Genomic DNA, 14,476 nt, shown 5'->3' with positions numbered 1-14,476 from the left:
AATAACTTTACCATTGTTTTTAAAATTTTTTTAAAGATATTTTGCATTTGTTTTCATAAGAAATTTAGAATATACCTGTTTGGTTTCAGAAAAGAATATTTATTAGCACTTTTATTGGTATTACCTGAAATATTTACATTAGCCACCCAAAACTAGTATCTTTATTATTTAATTTAATTTAATTAAATTAATTAATTTATTTATTCATTTATTTTGAGACAGAATCTTGCTCTGTTGGCCAGGCTAGAGTTCAGTGGCATAATCTCAGCTTACCACTACCTCCATCTCCTAGGCTCAAGCAATTCTCCTGCTTTTGCCTCCTGAGTAGCTGAGATTACAGTCGTGTGCCACCATGTCTGATTAATTTTTGTATTTTTAGTAGAGATGGGGTTTCACCATGTTGGCCAGGCTGGTCTTGAACTCCTGACCCCAGGTGATCTACCCGCCTCAGCCTCCCAAAGAGCTGGGATTACAGGCGTGAGCCACCGTGCCTGCCCAAATTTTAAATAGTCCTACCCAACAGTAGGAGATGCCTCTCCATTCAGGGAAATCCAAATTTTTAGGAATATTTAAAAGTTTTTCTCATATAAGTGTAGAGTTTTTAAAAACTTGTTTTTATGTATTTTTATTTTTATTGCTATTTGTGTTTTCTTATCCACTATATCATCTGCTTGGTCATTGTTTGTGTATATAAAGGCTTTTTATTATTACGTTAATTTTATATCCTGATACTTTACTAATTTTTTATATTTGTTTTGCTTTTGTGTGGTTACATTCCAGTGTTAATTTGTTTTATCCTTCTTTCTCTTGGGTTTTCCGGAAATACACTCATATCTCCTGCAAACAGAAAGGGTTTACATCCTGTCCCTCTTCTATTTCTCCCCGTCTGATTGCACGGGCTGACGCCTCCATTGAGCCCGCCAAGCTGGAGATGACTGGGAGATCATCTTACTGTAATAGGTTTTCCTGTTTGGTAGGAGCTTAGCTTTGGGGCTGAGAATTTTTTTTTTTTTTTCTGCCAGGGACATTACCATAAATTCCTTTTTAACTAAGCATTTTTGTTGCTATTTGAATCAGGAAAGGGTGCTGGAATTTGGAGAAGCCACAAATAAAGCATCTTCGGTCAGGGCTGTCCCAGGCCTGTCCAGAAACTGACCATGGAGACTCCCCCAGCAGCTCCATTCCTTGGAGAACAGAGGGTGTCATGGAAATGAGTGCCACGTCTGTCTCACCTGCGGACGCACAGGTCCTGCGCCTGCCTGGCAGAGGGAGACGTGCTCTGAGGACAGTGTGTTCCTGCACTCAGGTGAGAACTCGTCGTGAAGATGCCGCGGGCACAGCACCCCGCCTTGCACCCTCCTACAACACGGGGAAAACAGGGGATTCAAGTCAGGGCTATCGCTGCCTGAGTCTGCGTGCCAGCAGAATTCAGCGATGGGTCATGTTATTAATTTCTAGACTTAATGCTATGTACAGTCCTTTTTGCAACAAGCTCTTCTTGGACCCCAGCGTTCTTAAAGCAGTGCTTGGGGGCGAGATTGGTTTGGGAGCTGATCAATAGCTTATCCCTCATCCGCCCACACACCTCTCCTCCTGTCCTGCTGTTCTGGGGCTGTGAGCCCCTGGGGGAGCTTTTGAGAAGCAGCATCCTGTCTGCCCATCTCTCCCCATCCACGACAAGCCCGATGTGAAGGGGCCTCCTGAATCCTAACCCTGCTGTCTGGACACAGCCCCTGGCAAGGGATTTTCCTGGAAGGAGGGTCAGGATGCTCCATGTGGCTATTGCCAGGGCGTCACCTTGGTGAAGCCTCAAGGTTGACTCTGAGGCTTTATAGAGGTTTAGGCTAGAATTGCAGGTGCAGAGGAATAGCTCATTCGAATGAGCCCACAAAGCTCATCCACTTACTGAACAGACTTTCCAAGGACATGGCCTCCCACTGCCCAGACACTCCCTCTCATGGCAAGGAGGCCAGGGAGCCACCGCATCTGCCACAGAAGATTCTTGGTGAGTGTGGGGTGAGGGCAGAGGCCACTGGGGATCCGGGAGGTCTCCATGGAGCTGCTGGTGGCTTGTGCATCATGGCCTGTGTGGGATAGAAAACACACCTCCCACCTCACTGCTGGAGAATCAAACAAGATAATGGATGTGGGCATCATCTGTAAGCAGGAAAGATCTGGGTTATATAAGGACATCTACTTTTTATTCATCCACTGAGTATTTATTGGGCACATTTCGTATACCAGTAATTGTGGATCACAAACTGAACAAGAGTCATGGACCCTGCCCCAGGGAATTTAAAGTCAAATTCTGTTTTGTTTTCAATTGTTTACACACAAGGGCAGAGAATCACTCTTATTCATTTCTGTGTTTCTCTAAAAGTGTTTGCATTTAAAATTCTCAACAATTTTTTTACGTTGAATAATCACTGGTCAACCCTGAATTTTCCTTCAGTGAACTAAAGTGAGGAAGTACACAGAATATAGTATCTTTAAGTTATTATTATTAATTGTTATTATTTGGACAGAGTCTTGCTATGTCACCCAGGCTGGAGTGCAATAGCATGATATCAGCTCTCTGCAACCTCCACCTCCTGGGTTCTAGCAATTCTCCTGTCTCTAAATTATTTTTAATAAGCAACCTTTTTTCCTGTACTTTCAACAGCATTGATTTTATCATGTTGGTGATATTGCTGGAAGACAGTACACAGATAAGCTGTATATGTCACTGTTGACTTCTAAAAAGAGTATGTCTGGCCAGGCGCAGTGACTCACGCCTGTAATCCCAGCACTTTGGGAGGTGGAGGTGGGCAGATCACGAGGTCAGGAGATCGAGACCATCCTGGCTAACACAGTAAAGCCCCGTCTCTACTAAAAATACAAAAAATTAGCCAGGCATGGTGGCAGGCGCCTGTAGTCCCAGCTACTCAGGGGGCTGAGGCAGGAGAATGGCGTGAACCCGGGAGGCGGAGCTTGCAGTGAGCCATCGCGCCATTGCACTCTAGCCTGGGCGACAGAGCGAGACTCTATCTCAAAAAAAAAAAAAAAGTGTGTCCAGGTTTCTTGATGAGAAACAACACTTGGAGGTTTCTTAGGGTGATTTCCTCATGTGCCTATATTTGTATTTGTTACATTCTGTTATTACAAATAACATTTTCACAACCTTATTTGCTTATCCAGGCTCGTCCATCATTGCACTGCCTGGATGAAGAAAAATGCTGTAAATTATTATTCTAGTCATGGACATACATTTTCTAAGTGGAACAAGTGTTTCTGGAGCCCTGGGTTCTTGCAATCTCCCAGGATAGGAATCAAGAGAGACTAGCGAAAAGTTTATTAGCTTGTGCACAATGGAGTCAGCACTGCAGATGGGAAGGACAGGCTGCTCTCTGAAAGCAGAATGGGAGTTAATTTTATAGGACTTTCCTATAGGGAAGGGAGACATGAGGGCATGTAGAGGAGGATCCTTTTCAGCACCTGGGCAGGGATTTAATACACTTCTGTATGCACTGCATGTAGCATTAGCATTTTAAATCTGCACCTCTGGGTGTGACTTTTAGCATTACAATGAGGAAGGGATAACTATAAGTTGAGTTTTAGTCCTAATGGAAGCAGGAACTTGTGGTTAACAGTGTCTAGGGTCTTTTGTCGCTGATTGGCTGAAAGTTAGATAAGCTAGAGCTTGAGTAAAGGGCTTTTGTTCTTCTCTAGACCAGATCACAACAGGAGGCTAGCCAGCCTGCTTCACAGGGAGCAAAAGAGTTTCCCAGCATGCACGATTCTTGCATCTGGATAGAGTCCATCCTGGAAACTGGGATTTTCAAACTTAGTTCCATAGAATCTGGTTCATGTTCTCGTAAAGAAGACATCCACATACTCTCCGTGGCTCTGGTGGGCACATGTCTGGGTGGGTGTGGGGAGCCCCAGAGCAGTAGGGAAGACCCAAGCACTGTGAGAGCTGCCAAAGACAGAGTGAGTCACTTGGCCGGCAGAAAGCCAGTGGGGTGGTTAGCAACAGCTGAAGCCTCATGTTGGATGTTATTTAAGAGTTGGTCTGGATGGCCTTTAAGGTTTGTTTTGTCTCAAATGTTCCATTCCCATATAGTTGCAAGTCAGGTGTAAGGAAGCAAATGCAGTTAAGAGGGAGTGAAGCTCTTTCTTTTCTTTCTTTAATAGATGCCCATAGGACGATTGTTTAGGCTGGGGAGAATATGTATTTGAATAATGAACCAGTTAGAACAGCTGAGACAGTTATGAAAAATGTCTTAAAATGTTGTAACCCTATGGTAGCTGCAATAGTGTGAAATAGACCCAGCTACCTATAGGAGCATACTTTTTTTTTTTCTGTTTTTTGAGACGGAGTCTCATCCTGTTGCCCAGGCTGGAGTGCAGTGCTGTGATCTCAGCTCACTGCAACCTCCACCTCCTGAGTTCAAGCGATTCTCCTGCCTCAGCCACAGAAGTAGCTTGGATTACAGGAACACGTCACCACACCCAGCTAATTTTGGTATTTTTAGTGGAGAAGAGGTTTCACCATGTTGCCCAGGCTGGTCTTCAACTCCTGACCTCAAGTGATCCACCTGCCTTGGCCTCCCAAAGTGTTGAGATTATAGGCGTGAGCCGCCGTGCCTGGCCAGAGCATAATATTCTATCAGAGAACTACAAATCAATTAGGAGGAGATACATTAGTTAATGTAATATATCAGTAAATGCTGTTATTAAAAAGGGGGTGGCTTGGAGTCCTCACACCACATTATCACACCAAAATGAAAGTCCCATGGTGCTAAGTGCAGAAGCACAGGACAGAGGAGGAAAGAAAATAGCAAAATAAGATGATTTAGGAGATTATTAGCTGATATATGGATGGTAAGAATGTTGTGTTTGATTTTTGTTTGTTTATTTCTTTGAAGTACATGAACAATAAAATAGATCACAGGAAAATTATTATCTTCTGGATATAATTAAGTGGATCCTTAAAATATCACTTCCAAAACATATTAAAAGATTTACAACCCAGGGGCCAGGCTTAGGAAAAAAGACTTAAATGAATATTCCAAATAAAAGCATTAATTGGCTAAATAAGGATTAATTTCCTAAGTGACAAAAACTCAAGAGAAATCAATAAATTAAAAGCATTTTGTTTTTCTTAACAGAAAAGGAACTGAAGGAAATGAGTAGGTTATTTACAAAGAGATTATTGACAAACATAAAAATTATTCAAATTTTCTGGTAATTAGGAAGAGAAACTTTATCATGATAGTAAGATACTTGCTACTTATTAAATTAGAAGACTGTAAAGTAATGATAATAGCCATTACCCATTAGGGAGAAGGGAGGCAAAGCGCCTGCTACTTGCGGAGGGTTAATTGCCTCAAACTCTCTTGACTTGCATAATTAGATTCCACCGTTATGTTTCTTTGTATCTCTTCTAAGGAAACAGCCGTATCAACCATCAAAGTCTTCTTTGCAAAGGTGCTCATCAGAATATTACCCATAATCGTGAAAAAATGCAAAAATCTTATGTCCAACACTAGGGAAATAATTAAAGTGTGCTGTATCATACAATAGATAATTCCATGGCCATTAAAATGCTTCTCTAAAATCGTCAACGACTTGTAGAACATTTTACAGCACAATATTAAGTGAAAAAAGTCAGGATATAAAATTGCACATGCAGTGTAATCTCAATTATGTAAATATATGTGCATAAGACTAGAAGAAAATGCAGATGGATTTAACAGTGCTTACCCCTGGATTACGGCATTATAGGTCTTTAAAAAATGTTTCTTCTTCATACTTTCACATGAGTATGTATCACTTTCCAAAAATAAGAGTAATGACAAAGAAACCAATAAGAGTTCTTTAAAATAAAGAGGTAAAGTGGGGATCTGCAAGCTAGAACTTCAAGACCCCAGCACCGTGGCGTAAATCATGTCCACCAGAACCGCAGCCTTTAGCAGCCTCTGCAAAAATCAAAGATTTCCATTCTGCCTCCTATTGATTAAAGGAACATCTCGTTATACATCCTTACACAGGTATAGATCTTTGCTTCTTTCAGTCTATGTTTTTCTTTCATGGTTTATTGTTATTCTGTTTATTTTATGCTAATGATGGAATCACCGTTTTGTTTTAGTTTCTTCCTTAGAAATGAAGTATCTACCCCTGGGCAAGATTCAGCTGGTGGAGGGTCTGGAAGGGGCAGTTTTGGAGGGAAAGAAGGACTCACTGCTGTCCCTCTGGGGCTGCCACTGTGTCTCTCTGCTAGTCTTGGGCTGTGCTTTCCAAAGAGCCTGGTGGTGCCCAGGTGCCTTCAGAGGAGCAGTGGCCACATGCTCCCCTGAGTAGATCCATCTGGCAGGATGATGAGAGCCTGAGAGGAGGACAGGAGGTTGAGCAGAAGCCAGCAAGGAGCAGAGGCCCCAGGGTAGATCCTGACCTAGGGCTCGAAGTTGGGGTGGGGAGGACGATGGCCTAGAATCTCATTTTCTGCCTGTGAATTAAAATGGATAGAATTACCACAAAGATTAATTCAGGTAATAAATAGGAAACTGTTTTGTAACCTCCAAAATGCTACTGCTAGGATACCAGCTGGTGGCCTTGTGATTCCAGAGAGAACAAAATGAGGCCATCCTGTGCCCACCAAGTCTGTACATCCAGTTCTGCCTGCAACACGTGCCTTGCATGAGGGATGATGGGCCCTGGTTGCAAAGTCTGTCCTGCACAGAGTGAGGGGTCTTTGGGTCTGGCGGCCCCTGTGTTACACCTAGAGAAAGGTGCCTCTTGCAGAAGGGCCTTGAGTGCCATCTCCTGAAGGGCCAGCTCTTGCCACTAAGTCCCTGAGCCCTGCGAGGAGGCCCAGGCTTGTGGGAGCTGGGGCTGCCGTGGTGGGAGATTGGAGCTGAGCCCCTGGGTCTGCCCCTCTTCTGAAACCCTTCTGCTGGGCCTCCGTGCCCCTCCTCTGCCTGGGATGCCTCGGGGACTTGCCGTGGCCCTTGACCCTGTCTCAGCAGGAAGAAGGAGGGCACTGGGGCTGGGCACAGGAGTCAGGGCTTCCACGGCTGTGGTTTGTACCATGGACCTGGGAGGCAGGGAACTGTGCCCCTGTTTAGACCCATGAGCAGGCTCAGGCTCACAGGACCTTGCATGCTTCACACAGGATGCCTCATCCCTGAACATCCACTGACAGCGAAGAATCAGACCCCAGCCCCAGGGGACAGCCTCGGCTGGCCACAGTAGTGCTGTCTGGCTCCAGGGATCTGGACAGTGGCCTTCCTTCCTTCAGAGAACACCCCAAAAGCTCCTGCCTGGGGTCCAGACACCAGCTACTGGAGTCTCTCACCCTGGAGGCCCTCACCTGGAGACCCTCACCTGGAGGCCCTCACTTGGAGACCTTCACCTGGAGACCCTCAACTGGAGACTGTCACCTGGAGACCCTCACCTGGAAGCCCTCACCTGGAGGCTCTCACCTAGAGACCCTCACCTGGAGATTCTCACCTGGATACCCTGACCTGGAAGCCCTCATCCAGAGGCTCTCACCTGGAGGCCTTCACTTTGAGACCTTCACCTGGAGTCTCTCACCTAAAGACCCTCTCCGGGAAGCCCTTCCTTGGAACCCCTCCCTGATGACTGCTGAGTCCAGAGCCAGAGTCAGGTTTATTCACAGGTATTTGCCTTCAGGGATGCTCTTTGAGGTAGCAAGGATGTGAGTGGAATGCCCTGAAAGTGGCAAAGGGGACATGGGCAGTCTCAGGGGGTAACCTGGGAAAGCTTTCTAAGTAAGGTGGTGTTTGAACTGGGCTTCAAGGTACACATAGGAGTTTTACAGGTGGACAGAAAGAAGGCCAAGGAGTTCCAGGCCGAGGAGGCCACATGGGCAGGGAAGTGAGTTGCTTCACGACATGCAGGGTGGGAGCACAAGGCTCAGACAGAGGCCTCCGAGATGGAGAAGAAGGTATCTGGCGTGCCCTGGGATCATGATGGCAAGTGGGGGTGGGGGCTTTGCAGCTGTATGTCAAGCGTGCCTGCTGTTTCTCCTTTCCTAAGGAATGCTTGTACTCCCAGCTGCCACCTTCCTTCCTCTCTACTCTGAAAGGGTGTCCCAGGCTGCTCTCCAGCTCTGCAGGAGGAGGATGGGATGTCAGATGGTCCAGGCTGGGTGCTGCGTCTGGGAGAAACAGGATACCTGTGTAGGGATGGGCAGGGGGAAGTGGGGAGTCTCAGGGGCTTCTATGAAGGGGCCCTTTGGATGAGAAGTGGGAGTCTGATCCTTGTCCCTCTGAGAGCATAGTGCTTATCAGTAGCTGCTGGGACAGGTGGTGTGCTGACCCGTGGCAGTGGCGACCTCCATATCTCTCTGCCTGTCCATCTTCTTACGCCTTAAACTCCGACGCTCAGGAAATGGTGCAGCTACGTGTTCTGAAATGGAGCCCGGCCTAGCCACGGTTCACTTCTCAGCCCTCCTAACGCAGAGGAAGAGTTACCCAGTCACAGTCAGAGAGCCTGACTCCAGCCTGCTCAATGAGCCAGCGGGAGCTTGGCAGCCCATTCTGAGACAGGTAATGGGGAGGAGCATTAGCACCGGGAGACCTTGGTAATCACTCAGCTGGCCCCTGATTTTACAGCTGAGGGAGCCTAGGTCCTTACCTCACACCCGAGAAAGGGAAATTATTACCAGAGTTAAAGCTTTCCATTTTTGATATTTTATAGCGAGCCATTTTTAAGTAGAGTCTGGTGTCAGTCTTGAAGAGCTGAACACGCTCACTAGGAAAGGTGATGAGTACTTAGGGCAGTGCTGGCTGAGCGGCACTTTTAATCAAGGACTCCTGGGCCTCTTGCATAAATTCACTCCAAACCCAGTGCATCACTCCTTCGTTCTCTGAGGACAGCGGCAACTTTGTCATCTTTTGTTTCAAAGTGCATAGTATTTAGATAGTCTAAAATGTGCTCTGCAAATACTTCCTTTTGGAAATTTTGATAATAAAAGTTATAAAACGCTAGAAGTGCAGTGGTTCTTCACTTTTTTTTTTTTATAATGGACCTCAGAGATTGTGAGAAAAATGAGAATCTACCTAGTCATACTCATAGCAACATGCATAAAATTGTGCTTTATTGCAATAGGCATGAATATCTTTAATAAAGACAAATGACTACATTTTGTAGGCCATCATTTTGCTTTCATTTTCTCGGGTGAAATTTGATTCCCATATCTTGTGAAATAATTGACACAAATCTGATTTGGGACAAGAAAACCGAAAAACAACTTTCGTAATGCACACAAGAAAATGCGCGTGAGGGCCGGGCGCGGTGGCTCACGCCTGTAATCCCAGCACTTTGGGAGGCCGAGGCGGGCGGATCACGAGGTCAGGAGATCGAGACCATCCCGGCTAAAATGGTGAAACCCCGTCTCTACTAAAAATACAAAAAATTAGCCGGGCGTAGTGGCGGGCGCCTGTAGTCCCAGCTACTTGGGAGGCTGAGGCAGGAGAATGGCGTGAACCCGGGAGGCGGAGCTTGCAGTGAGCCGAGATCCCGCCACTGCACTCCAGCCTGGGCGACAGAGCGAGACTCCGTCTCAAAAAAAAAGAAAAAAAAAAAAAGAAAAAAAAAAAAAAGAAAAAAAAAAAAAAGAAAATGCGCGTGAGGAGGCTCCTAGACTGGGCTGAACCGGGAGGCGAAAGTCCGGGGTGCTCAGCCTTGGCCACCAGGCACCTTTGACATCCAATTGATCTTGCCTTTCCTTTTGTGGCAGTAAATGTTGAAAATGCTGATTTGCAAAAATTTCCATTTGCGATAGACTTAGAGCTTTTAGAATTTGATTTGCCAGGCAGGAGTCTATTTTAATCTAGGAGCTAGAGAGTTCTCTGAGTTCAGCATGGGTCCAGTTGTTTTCTTTGTTCTTATGTCAGTAAGGGCATCACTGATAAGTTCTTCTCACTGACACCCTGCCAGAAATCAACAGCTTAGAAACACACACTTCAGTATGATGCCATCTCAGCAAACTGACCATCACAGGAGCTTGCAGAGTTTCTGGGTATCTGCAGATTTCTTTTCTTTTTTCTTCTATTTTTGAAATTTTAACAAAATCTTTTATTTTGGGATGGTTGTAGATTCACACGCAATTTTAAGATATAATACTGAGAGGTCCTGTGTGTTCATTACCCTGTTTCTCTCAATGGTAACATCTTACAAAACTGTAATATGGATCACAACCAGGACATGGATGTTGATGGAGCCGAGACACAGAAGAGTTTCATCTCCACAGGATGCAGCTCCAGACACTGTGATGCAGCCAGGCCCATCCGCTCATTCCCACCCCTCCTCAGCCCCTGGCAATCAATAACCTAGAATTTTAGCATTTTAAGTATAAGTGGAATCATACCATATGTAGCCTCTGGGGACTGGCTTTTTTTCCCCTGAGCATTATTCCCTGAAGATCCATTGAGGTCGTTGTATGTATCAATAATTTTTTCCTGGGCCAAGTGCCATAGCTTATGTCTAGAATCTCAGCACAGTGGGAAGCTGAGGTGGGAGGATCCATTGAGGCCAAGACTTTGAGAACAGCCTGGGTAACATAGCGAGACCCTGTCTGTATGAAACATTGTTTTAAAAAATTAGCTGGGCATGGTGGCACACATTGCCCTACTCCTAGATATTTGGCAGGCTGAAGCAGGAGGACCCCTTGAGCCCAGGAGTTCAAGGTTACCGTGAGATATGGTTGTGCCACTGCACTCCAGCCTGGATGACAGAGCAAGACCTCATCTCAAAAAAAAAAAAAATCACACAAATTTATTCCTTTGCATTGCTGCATAGTATTCCATGATATGGATTTACCACGGTGAGTTTAACCACACATCCATTGAAGGACATTTGAGTGGTTTCAGTTGAGGGCCATTACTAGTGAAGTTATTGTGGCTATTCATGTACAGGGTTTTATGTGAACATAATTTTCACCTCTCTGGGATGAATGTCCGAGGGTGCACTGTATCATACAGCAATTAAATGTGTAGTTATGTTTTGTTTAAGAAGCTGCTGAGCAGTCTATTGTATTTGCTTTGTTCTTGCTGACCACACTATCTTCTTTCCTAGTGTCCCAAGGTTCCTTCTTCTATTGCTTACTGTTTGTCTTTAACCATTATTTTGAAGGTTTTAACCATTCCTTTAGCCATTATTTTGAAGGAATCTATTGGCAATACTTTCTCTTAGTTTTCTATCATCTTCGAACGCTCTAATTTTCTCTTCATTCCTGAAGGATATATTTTGCTGGGTATAGGATGCTGGGTTGATGTTTCTTTCCATTCAGTGCTTGAAAACTGTCCAACCATTTCCTTAGGGCCTTATGGCTTCTGATGAAGACTCTGCTAATTTTTGTATTTTTAGTAGAGATGGGGTTTTACCGTGTTGGCCAGGCTGGTCTTGAACTCCTGACCTCAGGTGATCCACCTGCCTCTGCCTCTCAGAATGCTGGGATTACAGGTGTGAGCCACCGTGTCTGGCTCTCTTGCTGCTTTTAAAATATTTTTGTTGTCTCTAGTCTTTACACATTTACTATGATATGTGCTTTTCATAAGTTTAACTATGATGTGTCTTAATGTGGATTTCTTTCCATTTATCCCGTTTAAGATTCGCTCAGCTTCTTGAGTCTATAGTTTTGTCCTTTGCCAAATTTGGGAAGTGTTCAGACACTCTTTCTTTGTGTACTTTCCCCACTCACCCTCTCCCTTCTTCTCTTCCAGGACTGTTGACACAAATGGTAGAACTTTTCTTATTGTCCTACAGGCCCTGAAGCTCTGTTCATTTTGTGTGTGTGTGTGTGTGTATTTTCTGACTATAATTTAGATTGAGTAATTTTATTGTTCTACATCCCTGAAGCTCTGTTCATATTTTTGGTCTATTTTCTGACTATTATTTAAATTGGCTAATTTTATTGTTCTATATTCAAGTGGCAAACAGTCTTCCAGGTGCAGTATCATCTGATGATTCCCTCTGCCCCCCATTCTGTAGTTTAGTGTTTCATTTTGTTATTGTATGTTTTAGCCCTAACATTTCTTTTTGTTTCCTCTATAAATCTGCCATTTATTTCCTGCAACTTTCTGGGTTGTTTTTTTTTTTTTTTTTTTTTTTCATTTGCTTAAATCTGTCCACAATTGCATAAATGGAAACACATTTATGAGTGATGGCTGACTTAAAATCTTTGTCAGATAATTCTAACATCACTGTCATCTCAATTTCAACATCTACTGATTTTGTGTTTTAATTTGCTTTGAAATATTCTGCTTTCCTCCTATGAGTGATTTTTCTATTGCAATCTGGTCATTCGGGGGTATTATGAGATTCTGTGTATAATCTGAATCTTCTGTTTTGGCTGATTTTAGCTGGCATCCCTCCAGCAGGTGAAGGAGAAGACACTTTGGTACTGTTCAGTGAGGGTATAATCCATCTTTCCACTTGAGCTCCATCAATACACACAGGGGGGCCTTTATTACAGCATAGGTGAGGATAGCAATCCTGGCTCCTCATTGGGGTGCCCATTGATACCCCGATGCCTGGGAGAGGCAGGACATTCCTCCTTACTGGCCGCATGTGACCTCCACAGACAATACAGGACATGGGGGTGGCCTGGTCATCTCCGGGCAACAGCAAAAGTCTTTATTCTCCATTAGTCCTCCACGGATACTACGCAGTGCTGGAGGGCAGGGAGTGTCACCCTCCTGCTGCTGGGGAGGGTGGTGGAAGTCCAGCCATGGTCTCCCCTGACAGCACTCCTGGGTGAGGAAGGCGATATTACCTATATCTGCCGGAGACGAAAGTCCCCGGTCTCAGCTTAGCCTTCTCTGACACCATCACAGTGGGAGGCTGGGGTGCCTCGCAGCAGCCTGGTAAGGGTGAAGGGTGGACCCCTCACCTGACCCTGCATAGGAAGGATCGAGGTGGTTCCTGGGTCTTGGTCAGCTGCTTTTTCCTGATCCTTTGGTGCAAAAGAGCAAGCTCCGGCTGAGGAGTTGTTTTCTGTCCTGCTGGCACTTCCAGGTTGCTGGCTTCTCCAGTTCCCCATCTGGGAGGTGTGAGGCAGAAAGAAAGCACAGGGAATGTACGTCCGTGTTGCTCCCCAGGTCCCAAAGCCTGCAGGTCACCTGCCTTCTTCTCGCTGCTTTCCTTCTGTCTGTAATACAATAAGTGCAGGCTTCTGCTTGTACTCAGTGGCATGAACAGGGAAAAGTAGACTACTTCATCTCTCTGTAAGCGGGAGTCCCAGAGTCCTTCTTAAAGAGGATGTTCAGAATTTGTCCCTGGACTTTTGCCTGAGGAAGCACATTAGAGGCAGCCCTGGACTTTCTGGGGCAGGATGAGCCTCTTCCACAGAGGGCGTCTCAGTCACGCCAGCGTGGAATGGTGCAGTCTGTGAGCACATTGCTTAGCTCACCTGATGCCATCAAATTCACCAGGTGACTCACCCGATACCAGAAAATTCACCAGACGACCCATCTGATGCTGGCGAATTCACCAGGCGACTCACCCAATGCCAGAGAATTCACCAGGCGACCTACCTGATGCCAGGAAATTCACCAGATGACCCACTCATGCCGGCAAATTCACCAGGTGACTCACCCGATACCAGAAAATTCACCAGACGACCCACCTGATGCCAGGAAATTCAGCAGGAGAGCCAGGCCAGGACTTAACCTCTTCCCTGTCAAATTGTTCCCAGAACAAGTTCCTCTTTTTTTTCCCCAACGTGAAGTTCATGTATGAAGTTCAAGCAAACACTTAAGAACTTACTCACTAAAAAGCAAGAGAATTTCTGTGGAGAAAAATCTTATATTCCACTTTCATTTCATGACAAAAATCTGTTGAAAGGCAGTAATTCAAGACTGTCTCTCATGAATTTGATAAATTCCACAGTCAGAGACGAGACGTTTTCCAGGTTATTGACGACAGTCTGAGCATAATCTGATAGCAAATGCAAGGAAATATGATGGCTGGTAGGTCTTCTTTTTACACCAAAGCAGCGAAGCCATATGGGTTGCCAGACGAGGAAGCGTGGGCTCTGCGTATCGAATACTAATATTCTTTTATAGTCAAAGTTATTCTCAGAAAAGAAACTTTCCACAATTATAAAGCTGTGGACTGCCTTTGAAGTTTAAAAAAGAAGGAAGAGAAGGACAGCAAGCTTATGAGCTTATGGATTCCATGATGGCGGAAGGGAACTTGGCGGGAAGCAGGTGCTGGCTGCATGAAGAGATACCAGGAGAGTCACCTGGTTGCATGACCTGCTTGCACAAGCATGTGAAATGTCAGTGATTCTAGAAAACACTGCCTCACTTAAGAGAGGAATACTTCCCTTACCCAGCTCCTGTCGAAGCCGTGAGTCCAGAGCTTCCTCCTAAGACCCCAGGTTTTGCAACGTTTTCCTGCTTTTAGGTGGCTGCTTTGACTTGGCTTGAGATGCTCAGCCCTGCAGGATGTTTCCAGACAAGAATTT

At 45.2% G+C, this 14,476-nt stretch overlaps 1 long non-coding RNA gene across 1 annotated transcript, besides 1 other annotated feature; it reads left to right on the top strand.

Annotated features, from left to right (window-relative positions):
• The first annotated feature begins 899 nt into the window (after window positions 1-899).
• Window positions 900-7,698, top strand: LOC107984186 (uncharacterized). The gene is made up of 3 exons (XR_001747313.1): window positions 900-973; window positions 1,078-1,306; window positions 7,154-7,698. It is a non-coding gene; the product is annotated as an uncharacterized LOC107984186 (long non-coding RNA).
• Window positions 12,863-13,364: an enhancer, noted in NCBI's record as "H3K27ac hESC enhancer chr10:132854747-132855248 (GRCh37/hg19 assembly coordinates)". NCBI's record gives its function as "activates a minimal SCP1, AML or CMV promoter by ChIP-STARR-seq in naive H9 embryonic stem cells {active_cell/tissue: H9 hESC(naive)}" and the evidence as "EXISTENCE:reporter gene assay evidence [ECO:0000049][PMID:30033119]".

Source organism: Homo sapiens, chromosome 10 (genome assembly GCF_000001405.40).
Source record: "Homo sapiens chromosome 10, GRCh38.p14 Primary Assembly".
Taxonomy (NCBI): domain Eukaryota; kingdom Metazoa; phylum Chordata; class Mammalia; order Primates; family Hominidae; genus Homo; species Homo sapiens.
The sequence above is the reverse complement of the archived record's forward strand: the minus strand, read 5'-3'. Positions and strand labels throughout refer to the sequence as shown.